Source organism: Homo sapiens, chromosome 2, assembly GCF_000001405.40.
Source record: "Homo sapiens chromosome 2, GRCh38.p14 Primary Assembly".
Lineage (NCBI taxonomy): Eukaryota > Metazoa > Chordata > Mammalia > Primates > Hominidae > Homo > Homo sapiens.
The window spans coordinates 2,045,677-2,064,700 of record NC_000002.12 but is presented as its reverse complement, the minus strand read 5'-3'; the positions used below and the strand labels follow the sequence as shown (position 1 = coordinate 2,064,700).

The following is a 19,024-nucleotide window of genomic DNA, read 5'->3' as shown; positions in this document are numbered from 1 at the left end:
ATGTTTCATAATATTCTCAGTGATTTCATCTAAACAGTTGAAGATTGTCAATAACTTATATTGTTTCTAATTCAGAATTGTATAGATTATTGCACTGAAAAAACTCACAAAAAACTCCCTGAGCAATATCTTAAAGTCTCCTCTCTGTACACAGATACTTTCAGTCTCCCTCAGGGAGGTCATGATAATTATGTCCTTGATGTGTTCATCCTGGGAAACCTACACCGTATCTACATTTCAGGATGTCAGAGTCCTTCCCTCCACCTGATCTTGAAAACTTCACTTCCCCATGTTCTCCTGGACAACTTCTATCCTGTTAACAACTGGAAATCATCAAACCTTACTGTGATGGTGTGGACTCCATTTCACCTGCTGTTAGGACACAGTCTCCCAAGCAAGGTACTCAGGGGGTCTGAAGCTAGGTCTTGAGCTGGCTCCAACTCAACCAGGTCTAGGCACTGACCTCGTGTTTGCCCCAAGTGGCTTCTGGGAGTGAAGAGGAATAATGTGAAGTCTGCCCATCGTATGTGGTTTCACACTTGCCATTTTCTATAGCCCCTTTCTCTGGGCTTCTCCCCTCCTCAGTTCTGCTGTCAATACTTAAAGAATACAGATATCACATACAAACTGACCTGTGTGTCTAAAGAGCTTAGTTTTAAATAATGGGTATTAAACAACCTTTTGTTCAAGGCTCTCTACATTAAATTTCTAGAGATTCTTATGTGTCCGATCTCATGGCATGAATATCTAGTGTTAACATCTTTAGTGTAGACAGCCTCAAGCAAGGAGACCTGTAGAGATATGTTAGGAATTATCAAGGAAACGTGGTTTTTATGTTGTTTGTTTTGTTTTTTTTGAGACAGAGTTTCACTCTTGTCACCCAGGCTGGAGTGCAATGGTGCAATCTCAGCTCACTGTAACCTCTACCTCCCAGGTTCAAGCGATTCTCCTCCCTCAGCATACCGAGTAGCTGGGATTACAGGCACGTGTCATCACTCCCAGCTAATTTTTATATTTTTAGTAGAGACAGGGTTTCATCATGTTGGCCAAGCTGGTCTCAAACTCCCGACCGCAGGTGATCCACCCACCTTGGCCTCCCAAAGTTCTGGGATTACAGGCGTGAGCCGCTGCGCCTGGCCATGTTCTTTTTTTTAATCCAAGTTCATGTCATCTGGCTCAGAATCCAGTTCTTGGCTGTATGCTCTGGGGGCACAGGCACCCCTAGTCAGGAGCCCAGGAGGCAAAGCACACAAAGACCCCCGACAGGTCAGAAGGCCCCGCCCATGTGAAAAGGGTTTCCAGGAGGCTTTCTAATGCTGTCTTGTTAAATATGAACAGATAATGAAGATCTCTAGATGTTCGTGCAAGCCCTGTAATATAAAAAGGACCCAAACAAACAAAAAAGAAGAAAATAAAGACTGTTGAAGAGAAACAAAGAAGTTATCATTGACTTTGTCTGAGTCACAGAAGAGAAGCTACATTGGGTTTGCTGAATGAGAACACATTTATTTTAAGTAGAAGAAGGAGAAGATGAGTTGAATCACTAAGAGATCACTTAGAAATTTAAAGATGAGTGTTGAAATTTAAATTTAAAAAATCTCACAAGAGAGGTGAGAAGATAAAGGAAATCTGATTAGAACAAAATGGCAAAGGGATGGAAAATAAGATTGGAGGGTCTGTCCAGCTCCCGCAGGACCATTGGCTGAATCGTGTAAGTTCCAGAAAGAGATCAGAGAAAATGGAGAGAAAACAACCACTGAAGAAAGCAGGGAAGACGATGGCCCTTGAAAAGCTGAAGGATATGTCACATGATGGGAGAAAACAGATCTACACACCCCCTCATTCTTGGGAAATACTAAAACACTAGAAGCAAAGAGAAAATTATGACGACTCTGGGCATGAGGGTCTAGGGGAAAGGATTCAAAGAATCCTCAAGAGGTAAGAAGACGAGGGAGAAACGCCATCAGACCTCCAGGGAAGTTCTCTCTCATCTAGACTGTTTTGCTCAGACAAATATTAGTTGGGTGTCAAGACAAAAATAGACATTTTAACATTGAGGAATCATTAAAAATCTCCCAACAACCTTTCCATAGGAAGCGTGGGATTATGTCTTCCACCAAATCAAACAAAGAAACAGAAAACCAACAACAAGTAAATCAAGACAGAGGAAGACAGGGATGCAGCAAAAAGGAGAGAGATTACAAGAGATGGGGCAGGGACTGGGTGATGGCCAAGGGGCATCATTACAGCCCAAGCTTTCAAGAGAACCAGTGTGGACGAGGCCAGATGGGAGGACACGGACGGCTCCCTGAGACTTTACACAGAACACCAAATTGATACCTAAGCTGTTCTTCCCTAAGAAGAAGATAGGACGTAATTGGGAATTTGGGATAGAGTCATGATAAGTACATAGGACAGCGTGTGTACATGGACACAATTATATTAATTGCAGGGTAGTAATGTGCAGATAAGAAACATAGTATTAATGTGTGGTTCATCTGGCAATAGTCTCTTCATAGTTATGACAGTAAAGCATTTCCTAATAATCTCATGTATTGCCCAGTACAACCATGCTGGGGGCAGAAACTGTGAGAAGGGCTTGGGCGTGGAGCGCATTAGTGCACCTCCCTGTTCCCCTAGATGAGACGTGGAAGTTCAGTGCTTCATGATGGGAAACCGCGCAGCCCCCTGTGGTAGAGACGCATTCGTGTAGGGTCTGAAGGCAAATGCCAAAAGAAATGGCTAGAAGCGTTGAAAGCTTTCCCTCTGGGGAGCTGGAAGTAAGACAGGGATGGTATCTGGGGAACATTGTTTTCATAATCAGCCATGTAGAGGTATTATACCCCTAAACCATGTGTGTGTATGAGGTTGATGAGAACACACATCACCTTTTGAAAGACCTTTTCTTCCTGTTGTTCATTGTGATGGCTCACAGTTGCAGCCTGTCAGACCACAAGCAATCTGGAGCTGGGCTGCAGAATCTCTCAGGGTCCAGGATGAAGAATTTCCCAGAATCCAGATATCACAGGTCCATTGGGTGACAGGGAGCTGGAGTGAATGAGAGCGCAGTTACGCGTTTCATCTTTGGAAGAAGAGGGCATCAAAGTTCTTCAGCGTCCCTCTTCCCTCCATCCCTCTGGTAATAAACACATTTGGTAACTGACAAAATGCTCCTTCCCTGACATTGACAAATTCCCTGGGGTTCTCAAGGTTGTTGCAAGGGGGTTGAACAAAGGCACTAAACACAGCTGTTTCAATTTCTATATTTAGAACTGAATAGCATAAATATAGTTTTCATTACAAATAGAACGGCTTAGAGGGGCTCCAAATGGGACTCTAGCTTGCCAGCAGCTCTGGCAGTCACCAGAGGTTAAGCCCCTGTGCTGGCAACCCCGTGACTCGGCTCTGCACCCCTCAGCCACTGCGGCCCCCACAGCCAGGCTGCAGGGTCCACAGCTCCCTAATGCTGGGCCATGGACGAGTTAAACCACACATTTACAATGAGCCACTAGTGAAAACAAGAAGCATAAGGAACCCTGAGAATAAAATACAAACTAGCAAGGATCAAATCTGCCTCAAAATTATCTGTACCCACTCTCTAAGTCACGTCTATTAATCAAAACCTTCCCATTGCAGATCACTATTTCTCTGATTCTTTAAATGTTAAAAGGAAAAACAATTTACAGTAAAATGTATAACCAAATTAGCTTTTTATATATTAAGAATAAAAATCACTATTTATAATATATATATGGAGAAGTGCTTACAAATATCAGCCTGGAATGTTGTCTTCTACCTCATTATTTGGCAACAAACTTTTTTAAGAACCAAAAAAAAGGAAGGAGAGAGAGAGAGGGAAAGAGAGAGAGAGAGAGGGAAAGAGAGAGAGAGAAGAGGAAAGGAAAGGAAAGGAAAGGAAGAATAGAGAGGGAGGGAGAGAGGAAGTGGGCAAAGATGGGAGGGAGGGAAAAGGAAGGGAGGGGGGAGGGAAGGGAAGAGAAGGGCAGAGAGGAGGGGAGGGGAGGGGAGGGGAGGGAGACAGGGAGAGAGACAGCGAGAGAAGAAAGGAGAGAAAAAGTGAATAAACAAGTTTGGCTTTCTTTAGCCTCAAATGCAAAACTTTCAAACAGAATGTCATTTTATGCCTACTTTTCATTACAGGATATATCATTAAATTTCAGTCTGTCTCTTAATATATAATCTGTCTAAATAACTAAACATAAAGTAATAGATCATTCTTGAATTTTTGGACAAATAATGATTTTTTATTCACTACATAATTAACTCAAAATAAATTAAACAGCAAGTACCCTTGTTAAAGGGGGAAAGTAAAAATCTTTTTCATATATCATGAATATTAATAATGACAAAGTTAAAATGAATTTTATAATACAGCTATGAATAATTCATTGATCTACAACTGAGTTTGTACAATCACTTATTTGTTCTATACGATGTGAAAATGAGGAAATGGCCTAAGTTCCTGTGAAAGGGACCCTACAGTCCCAAACTGAAGAGCAGGGAGTGTCACCCCTGAAGCTGCAGTCCTTCCTTGCTGCCACGCTATCTGATGTGCCCAGGTGTTGTGGCTGGCCATGAGATGACAGATAGAAGTTTGTTAGTTTAGTTCGTCTTTGGTTCACTCATGAAATTGAGCAAACTTCAGTTCCACACATGCTCTATGTCTGCAGTGGGCCCAGTTCTGGGGTTTAGAATCTAATGGGCTCTGTCCCCTGCCCTGACGAGCTCGTGGTGGGGTTGGGGTGCCGCTTAGGAGATCTACAGTTACAGCATGGTATGCTAAATTCTCTGACAGAGTCAAGAGAAAACCATAACACAAGATGTGTTGCAGCCTCCAAAGCTTCCTACAAAACTCTTTCTAGGAAACCCACCACATTTTCAGTGACAGTCATCCGTTTATAATTATTTATCTATAGAACAATTTTTCTCTGTACTGAGGCCTTTCCTTATTCTTTCTTTTTTTAACTGCGATGATTCTGAAAGGTGAAGAGCCTACGACGCAGACATAATTAAGGACTTTCAGAGAGAAATTTTTCATAGAAATGTCACCCATGCATTGTGTGCCCCCTGCCGAACTGCAGTCCTGCGTCCGTTTGTGCTTTGGTGCAAGGCCTTTGGCAGGGACTGTGTGGAGAACTCACTGCATGCATGTCCACCCTCAGTGGGGATGAAGTGCCGCCAGCACTGGGCAATGCACCTGGTTCCAGGGGGCTCTGCTCATCAACACAAACGGAAAGTGAGACCATTGGGTGCTTCCTGCGGTGCTGTGAGACCGCCGCCGGGTGCTTACTATGGTGCCACGAGACCGTCGGGTGCTTACTGCGGTGCCCTGCATGTTTTGTGTTGCATGGGACAAGATGGCATGTGCTTTCATGGAAAGTCACTGGAAATAATAAAACAATCCTGCGAAAAGCAGTTGCGACCCCGTTGATGCCCTCACCCAGAGTAAGAAGCTGGGATGCTATGGCCACTGCAGGCCCACTCAGCCAGGCACCCTTTGTTCAGAGAAATGGGAACGGCCATTCAGTTCCCGCCAGTGTGGGTGACACGCAGACCTTTTGAGGAATAACAAGACCACTGTGTCTATAAGACTGAGTGAATTCTTCCTTCTCTCAAACAGCAGACATGACCCAATTGTCCTTGAGTTTATATAAACTGCAGTCACACTTAGGTATGGTTTCAATTCATATTCCACTTGAAGGTAGTAAGATCTATAGTTTTGTTGCCCCCATATGAATGAACACTTTCTTTAATCATCCTCAATCGCTTCTAAATATTGAGGGAATCCTGGGCAGAAACATACTAGAGTGGAAACAAGACACAGATGTCACTGAGAAGGAGCCTCACATCCCTGGGCTCATCTCTGAAGTAAGAGAATCATACCTGAACTGTCCTCCCCACAGGGGATGATGAAAACCCAAGAGAATAATGGATTTAAAATCATTTTGCAGAATGTTAATATGCCACTTTTACTACTGTTATCATTCCCCAGTGTTAGAAAAAAGACTTACTTAAAATGTTTTTACCTAATAAATTAGTGTTTATTCATTTATTTATTCATTCAGCATAAATTTGTTGATCATTAGTGTGTGCCAGGCACAATTCTAGACTCTTGTGATTTACAAATAAGTTAGATAGCAAAGTGTCTACCATAATGGAATGTAGCTTTTCCGTGGGGAAAGACAGAACATGAATGCATAAACAGGTATATACACACACATAATCCACAAGGGAAAATTGATGAATTGGATGTCACTAAAATTAAAACTTTTGCTCTACAAAACACTCTGTTAAGACAACGAAAAGACAAGCAACAAGGTAGCAAAAATACTTAGAAATCAAATATTCATCAAAGAACTAGTATCTAGAATATACAATGAAATCTCAAATTCAACGATTTAAAACAATGTAGTAAGAAAATGGGCAAAAGACATGGGCAGATAGTTCACTAAAGATGAAATTTAAATGTACATGAAAAGATATTTAATTCCATCAACTATTAGGCAAATGCCAGTTAAAACCATGATGAGCTGTCACTACATACCTAGAATGAGTGACATAAAACACAAAGAAAACACCAAATTTTGACTAAGACAATGAGAAACTGAATCACTGGTACATTGATCGAGGCAAAGTGAAATGGTATAGCCACTCACACCAGTTTGGCGTTTTCTTTTAAAGCTAGCCATGTAATTGCTGTATGACCCAGCTATCCCACTCTCAGGCATTAATCCCAGAGAGATGGAAATGTACATTCACAGTAAAACCTGCACACACATCTTTACAGAAGCTTTATTCATGGTAGCCAAAAACTGGAAATAGCCCAGATGGCCTCCAGAGCATGAAGAGTTAAACTGTGTACAGCCATGCCATGGAATACTACTCAGCCATTAGAAAGAATAAACTATTGATACAACCCAGATGGAAGCTCCAGAGAATTATGCTGAATAAGAAAAGCCAATCTGCAAGGTTTGCACAGTGTATGACTTCATTTATAGAACGTTCTTGAAATAACAAAACGACAGGAAACACTGATGAGTGGTTGCCAGGAGTTCAGGGTAGGAGAGTTGGCTCTGAAAGGGAAGGAATATGGGTGTGGCTCTGAAAGGAAAGAGGCTGGGCTTGGTTATGAAAAAAGATGGTGGGGGTGGCTATGTGCAGGGCAGAAGTGGGCGTGGCTATTAATTGGAAGGGGGATGGACGTGGCAATGAAAGACAATGGGGTGGTCATGGTTATGAAAGGAAAAGGATGGGCGTGGCTCTGAACAGGAAAAGGGTGAGTGTGGCTATGAAAGGGAAAGGAGTGAACTTGGTGATGAACAGGAAGAGGCTGGGCGTGGCTGTGAAAGGGCAGGGAGTGGGCGTGGTGATGAACAGGAAAAGGCTGGGCGTGGCTATGAAAGGGAAGAGGGTGGACTTGGTGATGAAAGGGCAGGATGTGGGCGGGGCTATAAAAGGACACAGAGGAACTCTTGCTCCTTCGGTGATAGTTATCTGCATGTTGACTGTGGTCATAGACACAGAAACCTACACTGGTGCTAAAATCGCATGCACATATATGAACACAAGAGAAGTAGGAAATCTGGACATCGGTGGGAGGAATCAATGTCGTTCTGCCTGTATGTGCTATGGTTCTGCAAAATGTTGTCATTGGCGGACACTGAGACGGGTGCATGGGATCTCTGTATTCTTTCTTCCAGCTGCATGTGAATCTACAGTTACCTCAAAACAGTTTAAAACCAAAATCTGTGTGATATAATCCCAGATAATGACAAATGCCGTAAAGAAAAACCCACTCATTCTCATTTGGGAGATTAGAGGAAGGGTGGATGAGGAGAAAGGCCAGCAAAACTTTGGCTGAGAACAGAGTGTGACTGAGAGCCCCAAGGAGCTTCCGCCTGGCTGCTGTTATTTTTGTTTTGCAGCTAAGCTGCCTGCTAAACATGCCGTTTAAGAGTTCATCCTGGGAATTCCATTACCAGTGATCACAAGCAGCATCTGTGACAGGGAACTGTGAGCAGCCAGAACCGTGGGTGCATATTCCTTCCTACCGCACCTGAAGAACTGGGAAAAGGAGGTCACTGACTCACTCACTCCTTACCTAATTGTTCTGTGAATCTTTACCTAGTGAGGACCTATTGTTAAAAGCACACTGTAGTTGGATGGATGGATGGATGGACGGATGGATGTGCACACACATTTAGTAAGCAGCAGCATCATATACCCTGCAAGGGCATTTAGCCTATAGTTCATTTGTCAGTGGCTTTTAAATCTACATCTCATAAATTACTCCCAGACGGGAATGCATCTTGGAACAAAGGTAGTCTCACCTCCAGCAATTACTCTAACTCCCCTTCCTCCAAGAGGGGTTCTCATGTTTGTGAGGGTGTGTCCTCACGCCTGGAGAGCCTGAGGGACCCAGGAAAGGAGCCAGGAGCACCCAAACTGGAGTATTTGGACAAGCAGCCCTGATGAGAGGCTGAAGGTGCTTTGCTGTTTCACCTGGGAATGGGAAGGGCACTCCTGACTCCATGATTTGTGAATGTGCGCCTGGAGAACAGAGCACGCTCCAAATAAAACCTTTCATTTTGTCCACAAAATTCTGTTTTGTAGATACTTATCACTTTAATGAAAAACCTGTCCCTCTCCTGACAATGATCAGTCATATCTGCCGTTGAGGCACTGGGACTGCGGCTGCTCCCACAGGAATGGCCTGATGGTCTCCAGGTCTTCCTCCTTGTTACCTTTTGTGAACACTGAAGAATAGAAAAAACACTTTTCCCAAAACAACGATGGACAACACGATGAATCTATAGAACATGCTAACAAGCTTAAAGTGATAGAGATGAATTTTTAGGATTACCAGTAGAGTAAGTCATTGTGTAAATTAACGTAATAATATTTTATGAAAGCAAAATATTATGATTGTTTTAAGCATAGTACTGGCAATATATTAGAGTGGCTTTGATTATTAATGTCCAATCCTACTATTTCTCAATCACTTGTTTTGCTTTATGTTGGTTTGTTTATAAGATTTATTTAAATTTGTCTATTTTTTGTCTTTCAAATGGTGAGAATTAACTTGCATTTTTATAAAACCACTATGTCGAATACCATTCCAACCTTTCTTAGTCAATTTAGTAAGTAATAGCTCAGAATGTGTTGGAAATAACTGTGCCTACTATATAAACATTAATCACAGAAGTTTATGCATAAGCCCCATTTTAAACACTATTTGGATGTTGCTTTATAGCTATAACAAATAAAAAATTTTAAATTATTACCCAAGATGTTGCATTTTGTTTTGCTTTTTAATTAATAACATGCTCTTGTAAAATCTTTTATGTGGAAATCACAACTTATTTGCTATCCTTTGAACTGAGAAGGACAAAAATACAAACACACATGACAACCCGCTGATGATATAAGCTATGAAATACATGTGCAGATACATCCCGTATGCTTCTGTAATTTGTTTCTACACATTTTGTAGTCTTAATACTTTGTAGACTCAATCATAAAAATGACTCTTTCCCTTAGTTTTATAAGAATATAGTTTTGTGTATTTTTTATATTACAAAGAGTAATTTCATTAATTTTCTTAAAAGGTTTTTCTATAAGGAATGATTTATTGGAAATTAATTGGGTGTGATACGAGGTTGTTGTCACCACCATCCCTCTCATCTTATCTCCATGCATCTCATCATCTCTTGTGTCTCATCTCCATGCATCTCATTTCCATGTATCTCATCTCCATGTGTTCATAATCTCCATGCATCTCACCATCTCCATGTGTCTCATCTTCATGCTTCTCACCTCCATGCACCTCATCTCCATACCTCTCATCATCTCTGTGTGTTCCATCTCCATGTGTCTCATCATCTCTTGTGTCTCATCTTCATGCATCTCATTTCCATGTATCTCATCTCCATGTGCTCATGATGTGTCTTGTCATCTCCATACATCTCATCATATCCATGTGTCTCATCATCTTTATGCTTCTCACCTCCATGCACCTCATCTCCGTATCTCTCATCATCTCTGTGTGTTCCATCTCCATGTGTCTTATCATCTCTTGTGTCTCATCTCCATGTGTCTCATCTCCGTGTGTTTCATCTGCATCTGTCTCATCTCCACGTGTCTTATCATCCCCATGGATCTCATCTCTGTGTCTCATTATCTCCATGTGTCTCCATATGTCTCATCATCCCCATGCGTCTCTATGATCTCACCTCTGAGTGTTTCATCTCCATGTGCTTCATCATCCCCATGTGTCTTATGGTCTCTGTGTATTTCATCTCCATGTGTCTCATCTCCTAGTGTTTCATGTCCATGCATCTCATCATCTCCATGTGTCTCATCTCCATTTGTGTCATCATCCCCATGCATCTCATCTCTGTATGTCTCATCATCTCCATGTGTCTGTGCACCCAGCGTGGCCTCATTGCCTACTTGCAGCAGATGCATTAAAGACCTGACAATCACGTCCCTCAAGTAGAGTTTTGCTTTTACTGTGAATATCAGCCTCATTATTCTGCCTTTTTGTTCTTCTCTAGAGTGGCCACATCTGGTGGAAGAAGAAAAAAATGTAGTTATTGAATTCAATCAAGTGTTTGCATCTTTCAAGCTATCAACAAAATTCCATCAAGAAAGGTTCCAGTTGGTCTCACAGACGTATGGATATCCGAGGAGCCACCTAAAGGTGAGGAACTCTATGTGGTATTAATATTTTAAGCTTTACATGCAGACAGGTGTTTTGCATATTTACCTTAAAATATGTTACTTTGAAAAGGCATAAATATAGGTTTGTGAATGAAGCAGCATTTTATTTGATAAAGAATACAACACCTCTTGCTTTTAATAAACAATTCAATATAAAGTCAGAATGTGTAATCTCTTGGTAAACATAGACTCAAGTAGCCTTCTGTTATCTAGTTATAACATCACCCAAAAGAAGAATTGATAAGCATACTAATAGGCCTGGTTCACCTTTCAGCAGTCATAGAGAAGCTCCCTTGTACAAAGCCCCTTTAAAATCAGATCCCTGTGTCCATTATTAGTTCTATTTTGGGATATTTTATATTTGAGGAAATTAAGAAGGTCATTAATTAGGGCCTGTTTTGCATTGCCTAGGGTTCCTGTAGGTTTCTGTCAGTTACTGTTGACAAACGTCCCTTGCTGCCACTGTGGGCTCTGGGAGTCATGCTTCTTGAAAAACTTCAGGTTATGGCCTTTTGTTTTCAAAATAATTGTAAAATACATATAACATGAAATTTACCATTTTTACAGTTTTCAAATGTGCAATTAGTGATATCAAGTGTATTCACATAGTGGTGCAATGGTCACCACCTGCCGTCTTCAGAACTTTTTCGTTCCCTAACTGAAACCCTGTCCCCGTTAAACACTACCTCCCCAGGCCTCCCCCACACTCTCTGGGTCCCAGCATTCTGCTTTCTCTCTCTGTGAATATGACCACTAGTCTTACCTCATGTGAGTGGCATTGTACGGTATCTGTTCTTTTGTGACTGCTCTCTTTCACTTAGCATAATGCCCTCAACATCCAGCCATGTCGTAGAATGGGTCAGAGCATCCTTCCTTTCTAAGGCTGAATAATAGTCCACTGTACATCTGTCAGTGGACACGTGTGCTGCCTCCACCTTTCAGCTACTGTGAATTATGCTCCTATTAGCTTGAGTGTAGAAATATATATCTGAGTCCCTGATTTCACATTTCCTGAGCATCAACCCAGAAGTGGAATTGCTGGATCATGTAGATCATATTTTATTTTTAATTTGTTCAGGAAATGCCACTCTTTTCAATAGTGGCTGCACCATAAAGTGGTGCATTATCGCCACAGTTCACAAGGATTCCAATTTCTCCATATCCAGGCCAACACTTAACTCTTTCCTGTGGTTTTCTTTTTTAAAAATAATAGATATCCTGATGGATGTGAAGTGGCATCCTATTGTGGTTTTGATTTGCATTTCCCTCATTATTAGTGGTGTTAAGCATCTTTCCATGTGTTTATGGGACATTTGCATGTCTTCTTTGGAGAAATGTCTAAGTCCTTTGCCTTAATCAGTTATTTGTTTTTGAGTTGTAGGAATTCTTATATATTATAGATATTAGCTCCTTATCATATATATGATTTGCAAATATCTTCTGCTGTTTCATGGGTTGCCTTTCACTTTGTTGGTAGTGTCCCTTGACACACAAACATTTCGTTGTTTTAAGTTTTGATGTTGCCCAATTTAGACATTTTTTTAACCTATACTTTGGGTATCATATCCAATCAATCATTGCCAAATCCAATGTCAGGAAGCTGATCCTTCCTATTTTCTTCTAAGAGTTTTATAGCTTTAGCCTCTGTGTTTAAGTTGCTAACCCATTTGGAGTTAATTTTTCTTTTTACAGGTTTAAGGTAATGTTATAACTTTATTCTTTTGCATGTGGGTATACTCTGTGTGTTGAAAAGACTGTCCTTGCTCCAATAAATGGTTATGGCACCCTTGTCAAAAATCATTTGACCGTATATGCAAGAATTTATTTCTGGGTTCTCTATTCTGTTCTACTGGTCTGTTTCTCTGTCTTTATGCCAGTACCACACTATTTTGATTACAGTAGCTTTGTTGTAAGTTTTCAAATCAGAAAGTATGAAATTTCTAACTATGTTCTTTTTCAATATAGTTTTGGCTATTTGGGGATCTCTTAACATTTACGAATCTTGCAATATATTTATTTTTGAAAAAAAAATGACCTTAAGATTTTGAGAGGGATTGCACTGAATTTGTAGATCATATGGCTAAGTTTCTTAATGAGACAGAAACAGGGTTTCTTATATTTTCTGGTAATGAATTTCTATATGCAATTTAAGCGTGTACCATGACCTTATTTCTGTTTGGAAAGAAAAAGTTCAGATTTTTACCTAGTTTTTCTGACCCTGGTATGATTAGTAATGAGCAATTACATAAGAATATCAAATATAAAGTTTTCTAAAATCTTCCCCAAAGATGAAGATGTTGTGTCTGTTTAGTTTCTTAAAAACTCAGCTTTGTTTTTAAGGCTTAATTCTCTAGCAGTAATTTTGAAGGCTTTGTTCTCTAGTAGTAATTTCTTAGGTAGAAAGTCAACAATGGCATGGGATGTTCCACCTAATCTCAGTGATTGAAGATACGCTGGTGTCCAGCGGTTCATTGCTGGACATGTTTCCTGGGCCGTATTAGGTACTCAGTCACATCTCAATGAATCCACAGAGGTCTGTGCAGGCTGTTGAGGAGGACCCAGAAGAGATCTTAACTAGGAGCAGAGGAATCAAAGAGGACTTTGAAGAGCAGATCACCCCAAAAGTGGATCTTTAAAGATTAGTTTATTAGATGAATAAATCTGGAAATGGCTGACTTGAGAGAAGAAAAATACAAAACTTAGAGATGGGAAGCATCAAGTAATGGACGTGGAATACTATTCAGTTGTCACGTACAGCTGCATGTTAGGACAAAGGGCTTAGCTCCCCATGGCTTAGGTTTGGTGTTTATAAAATGAGCATGGGTACTGTCTGTGTTCTGTGGTCCATGAGAGACAGAATGGGGTGTGGTTCTATTTCTTACCCTATCAGATGGAACGTAGAACAGAATGGTCCTCTCTAAGAAGTTGCATACCTCCTCTCAGTCCTTGAAATTGATGACTACTTTCTTTCACTCATCTGCCTGCCATCCTTTCTACCCCCAAAGTTGGATGTTACTGTATTCAACTTTCTGAATTCAATTTTAGTAGCTGTTGTGCAGTTTGTCCAACTGTAGACTCCAGGAATTGTTCTGCTAGTCCTACCCTCAGATTACAACTCAGAATCAGAAACACTCAGATGGAAAGGCCCTTAGCACCACCGCCACGGCAAAGCAGCAGCTGTTGCACACAACCCCAAGTCCCGCTACCTTCTGCCGCTCTCAGCTCTTCCCTCCCCTGCAGTGCTCCCCCTACCATGTGTCATCTTTTCTGTCTGCAGCAGCTTAGCTTCCTTTAGCATCTCCACTTAAGAAGGACTTTGGGGCTTGATCTTATGGGAGAAATAAAAATGCCATAGAACAAGATTTAGATTTAGGGCATTTTTCTGTCCTCGTGTGTCCCAATTAGCCACTGTGATTGCTGAGCCGTGAACACCTGTGGCGCCTCCGCAGCTGGTGCTCTAGGAAATCCAATTTCCCCTGAACCAGAGCCCAAAGAGAAAATCACACTCTGCATCCAATTTCCATGCTAAAGACTGTCCTTAAAATAAAATCAATATCTGTTTCCCGAAAAACTACATGAATTGTGTTCTGAATGGTGACTATTTTAAAGAAAAGCATATCGTGTCCAGAAGGAGAAATCTGCTGAAATAGCTCCAACTCTGTAAATCTATATTCTTTGACCCTTTGAAAGAAATATATTTAAAACAGTGAGCAAATGTCATCAGGTAGTCCTGAAACTGCCAGCGATCACTTGTTTTTGGGCAAATCTCTACAAAAAATTTGTTCTTTTTTTTGTAAAACAGAAGTAAATGGTCAAGTGAGATGGATATCATGAACCTAATGTAAACTACAAAAGATGATAATAGCTGCTAATCATTTATTAAGCATCCACTCTGTACCAAGCTTGGTTCTAAAAGTGCCACTCACCATGTCTCATTTCATCGTCAAAAAACCCCCTATGAAGTTAGTACTATATACATATTTATATATATATATATACACACACACACACGTATATAAGTTTATTTTCACAATACTGATAAAGACATGCCTGGGACTGGGCAACTTATGAAGAAAAAGAGGTTTAATGGACTCACAGTTCCACATGGCTGAGGAGGCCTCACAATCATGGCAGAAGGCGAAAGCCATGTCTTAACTGGCGGCAGGCAAGAGAGAAATGAGGACCAAGTGAAAGGGGAAACCTCTTATAAAACCATCAGATCTCATGAGACTTATTCACTACCATGAGAACAGTATGGGGGAAGCTTTCCCCATGATTCATTTATCTCCCACTGGTCCCTCCCACAACATGTGGGAATTATGGGAGCTACAATTCAAGATGAGATTTGGGTGAGGACACAGACCCAAACCTTGTCTATCTGTCTATTTATCTATCTATCTATATTCATAATTTATGTTAGGAGAAAATTAATATACAGAGAAGTTAAATAATTTGTCTAACATTACACAGTTAATAAATGACACAGATGGGATTCAAATTTATGTAGGCATTTTAACTTCCAAGCCAATGTTGTTAACTACTGTGAACTCACTCTACTATCTCTACAAAGCCATATGCAGGTATTATACATTATTATTCTTGTGTCTCTCTGATAACCGTGTATAATATATATCACTTGTGTGCATAGATAATGTACTATGTGTATATACACACAGAGAACTTGTGGAACTGCTAGGTTGCTACCAAATCAAATTGTTTTGCTTTAATGACTCAGTGCCGTTAATATAACTTTATAGTCATCATCCTCATACATGTTTCCCCAGAAAGCAACCAAATAATTTTGAGTCTTGCTTTGTCAAGATCCTCCTTAACTCATGGAATAATGCTTTTCAATTGTTTTCAGAGTGATTCATTTGTGTTGCTTCTATCATAATTGTTATGATTTCATTAAAACAATGTTTATTGCAATGTGATGTTATAAAATATTATGGATAGTTAAAAATAAATAAAATTGTTTGAGCTTTTATTTTTCTGGACTGTAGTTTAAGAAATAGTAGAAATTTGCATTTCTCATGACTTGTGTTATCAAAGTCACAGGCCACCACCCTGTAGGAGAGTAGGATGCCAAACTACTGATCCCTGTCCTCCTATTCCGGAGTGTGGTGGAAACTGCAAATCATGGCATCTCCTTCCTCCTAACTGAGGACAATTACCTGAAGTCAGGCGACACCCTGATGGAAGCAAAGTTGGAAAATAGGATATGTGGTTCAGGACCATGGACCGCTTAGGGGGATTCAGATCTAAGGGGCAGTCAGATATTGTCAAGGGATTTAGACACCAGGGGTCCACCTAGGAGGATGGGAGGCAGGAGATTGCCAGAGATGAGTTTCTCTTTGCTTTGCTGAGAGTCCTGCTGTAGTTAGTGGAGTCAGCGCATGGACCACCTACCTCTGGTGTGTGGCACAGCCTTATAGGTCCTTCTGGGGGCTGTGTGAGCTGAGAGGTCCCAGCGGTGTCAGGTGCCCCACAGGTCCATGGAAGCTTCACACAAATGGATTTTCCACAAGAGAATTTCTAAGCTTGAATGCCCTTGTTTCCATTTCCCCTTGGAACAGAAGTAGGAAACTTTCTAAGCCTGAAGTTGTCAAGCAAGCACGACATTTTGCTGGAGCTACACAAATTCACATAAATCTCAGGAAGAGGTATCAGTTTCTGACCTCATCAGAATTCTTTTATAAGTTTTATTTTATTTTTTTTCTGGTCAGGGCAGAAGGGATTGGAAGACCGTGGAGTGGGCTAAAGTGGTTCCTCAGATTACTGGTACTAATGGTTTTGAATATCAGACTGCATCAGGCTCTATCCCCGCTTCACAAAATGAGAAGCAGTAACACGGATGGAGGAGGTGCTTGGTGCACAGTGTCTGCATTAAAGCCGGGTCTGTGCCTCCAACAAGCTCACAGTCCAAGGTCTGACACACTCCACAGTTTATGGACAGCCCCATGTCTTGAAGGAGGTACCTCTACAAATTCCCTGGAGACAATTTTTCTTCTAGAAGCCTGGAAAGAAATTTGTGTTCTGCAGCCTTTGCTGGGAAATGGTACTGTGGTGGTTTAAGCTGGATACTTTGTTCACTGTTTCGTATTTTCTCCTTAGTAGTAGTTTACATTATTTCCTTGAGTTCTAATTTTAAAAAGATTATATACCATCATATTCATAAAAATTTACTATTGTTAGTATGTTTGGAGAAGCATATCCTATTTAAATAACTAGCAGCATCTTCCATTTAAGCTTGTTGTATGTAGACTTCGTTGTCTGCTTAGATCAATCATCCTTCTTAAATGTAGTTAGCCAAATTTTTATCATGAAAAATCGGTGTTGAGCTTTTAAATTTTCTTCCAAAAATAGAAATGTGTGAGTTTATTCAATATGCTAAGCCTCATACAATGTATCTCCCAGAGAATATTAATGTTTAGTAATACATAATCTTTCTTTTCACTTGTGAAGGAGAATTCTCATGTACCCACATTCCATAGAAGGTTCTAGAATGGCCACTGGGGGTACACTTTGTTAGGAGGAGCAATTCGCAGATGTATCATTTTCATTAGTCTTGTGGACAAAATTCTAATTTGACCAGGATAAAAATCATGTTAGCGTTAATATCATAGGTATCTTTCATAAATAAATAAATCCAGCGTAAAATCTATGGGTGGGAATTAATAGAATATGGCCAAGTGAAATGAAGAGCATATTTAGGTCCATGTAAGACATTAAACTTAAACATAGATACTGCAGAAATGAAATGAATAAATCTTGCTGAGTCAAAAGAACGTTCAAGACAATGTAGAAAGGTGGAAATTTTAGTGCAGGTATTGTTTTAATATTGTACTAATAAATAAGAAATTACTTCATTAAAATATAGCATAAATGGGTAAACGTAGTGGCGTATTAGCATATTAAATTTAACAAATAAAAATATTAACTAAAAATGGGCAAAGGATATGGAAGACAATTCAGAGGAGATAAAAATGAATTTGACATCAGAAAAGCTGCTCAAACTCATGACACCATAACTTCCAAGTGGAGTCACTAAGTCATGGCTTTCTTTCCCTCTCAGTGGACAGTAGACAGGCAGGCTGATAGCAAAGTATTGAAAAGTATGGGTTATAGAAAATAATTAGCAATATCAATGAAGCTCAGAAAGGGTGTATCCTCTGTACTAGTAATTCCACTTCTAGATATTTAGTGTACAAATATTTACACACAGGAGAGCAAAGTAGCATTTATAAATAGACAGCCAGTGCAGAAGCCAAGAGCATGACCTCTGACCACACCTGCAAGAACCAAGTGTGGCTTCACCCGGGACGAGCTACTGGTCTCTACCTGCTGTGGTTTCCTTTTCTGTATGCCAGGAATAATCACAGTATTTATACCTAAGACAGTTGTGGTAAAAATTGATTGAATGAGTGAAAATGGCACTTGTCACTTAGCAAGCATTTTTGTATTAGAAATGTTGGCTATTTTTATTGCATTCATTACAAGTCTTGTTTATAAGAACAAGATTCTGGAAACAAATATTCATCCATAGGAGACTGGTGAAATAAATCATGCTATATTCATGTAATGGAGCATGATAAATTTGCTTTTTTAATGAAGGAGATTATATAAACCTAGCCCAAGATATAATATTAAACAAAATGTACAGGGTGAAAAAACCATGCATGTAATGTTATGATTTGTGTATTATAAAAAGCATGTATGTATACGTAGATGCTTGTCAGTGCATTGGACTTCAGAGGAAGACCACAGGACAGGTTGTCTCAGAGGGAAGGAATTAGGTGCCTGGGGGGAGAAAAATTGCTTTTCATAGTATATCTCTTGAAGCTTTAAGAATGCTGTGCCATGCATATGTGCATTCCTTTTTAAAATAAATTATTCATGTTTATATTCACCACATATTCACGGAGAGACCATGTGCAAGTCAATGTGTTGAATCTGAAAAGGGTCCCAAAGATACAGAAGACGACAGCGGCCCTGGAGGAGCTAAGGACCCCACAGCAGGTCAGGATGTGCACCCTGGGGATGTAGCTAAGACAGACCCATGGAGGACCACAGGGAGGGAGGGTTAGAGCCATATCATTGGTGGCAAACATAGGGACACCAGGCCCTTGGAAAGAAGAAAGTTGGCCTGGAGATCCAAATAGCTTTATTGAATTTGAGAGAATAGTGTGGAAAGAATCTTCCACCAGCTGAGCAAAGGCACTGAGGCAGAAAAATATAGGTCCTGTGTGAGAAAAAGGCAATTTGTCTAATTTCTAATGCA

General features: G+C 40.3%; 1 protein-coding gene across 32 annotated transcripts in view; it reads left to right on the top strand.

Moving 5' to 3' along the window:
• Nucleotides 1-19,024, top strand: part of MYT1L (myelin transcription factor 1 like) — a 542,163-nt gene that overhangs the window by 266,575 nt on the left and 256,564 nt on the right. For all 32 annotated transcript variants that reach the window (NM_015025.4, NM_001303052.2, XM_011510326.2 and 29 more), the window contains one exon: nucleotides 10,578-10,723. The gene's annotated coding sequence lies outside the window, so the exon portion shown is untranslated. The remainder of the gene's footprint in view (nucleotides 1-10,577; nucleotides 10,724-19,024) is intronic.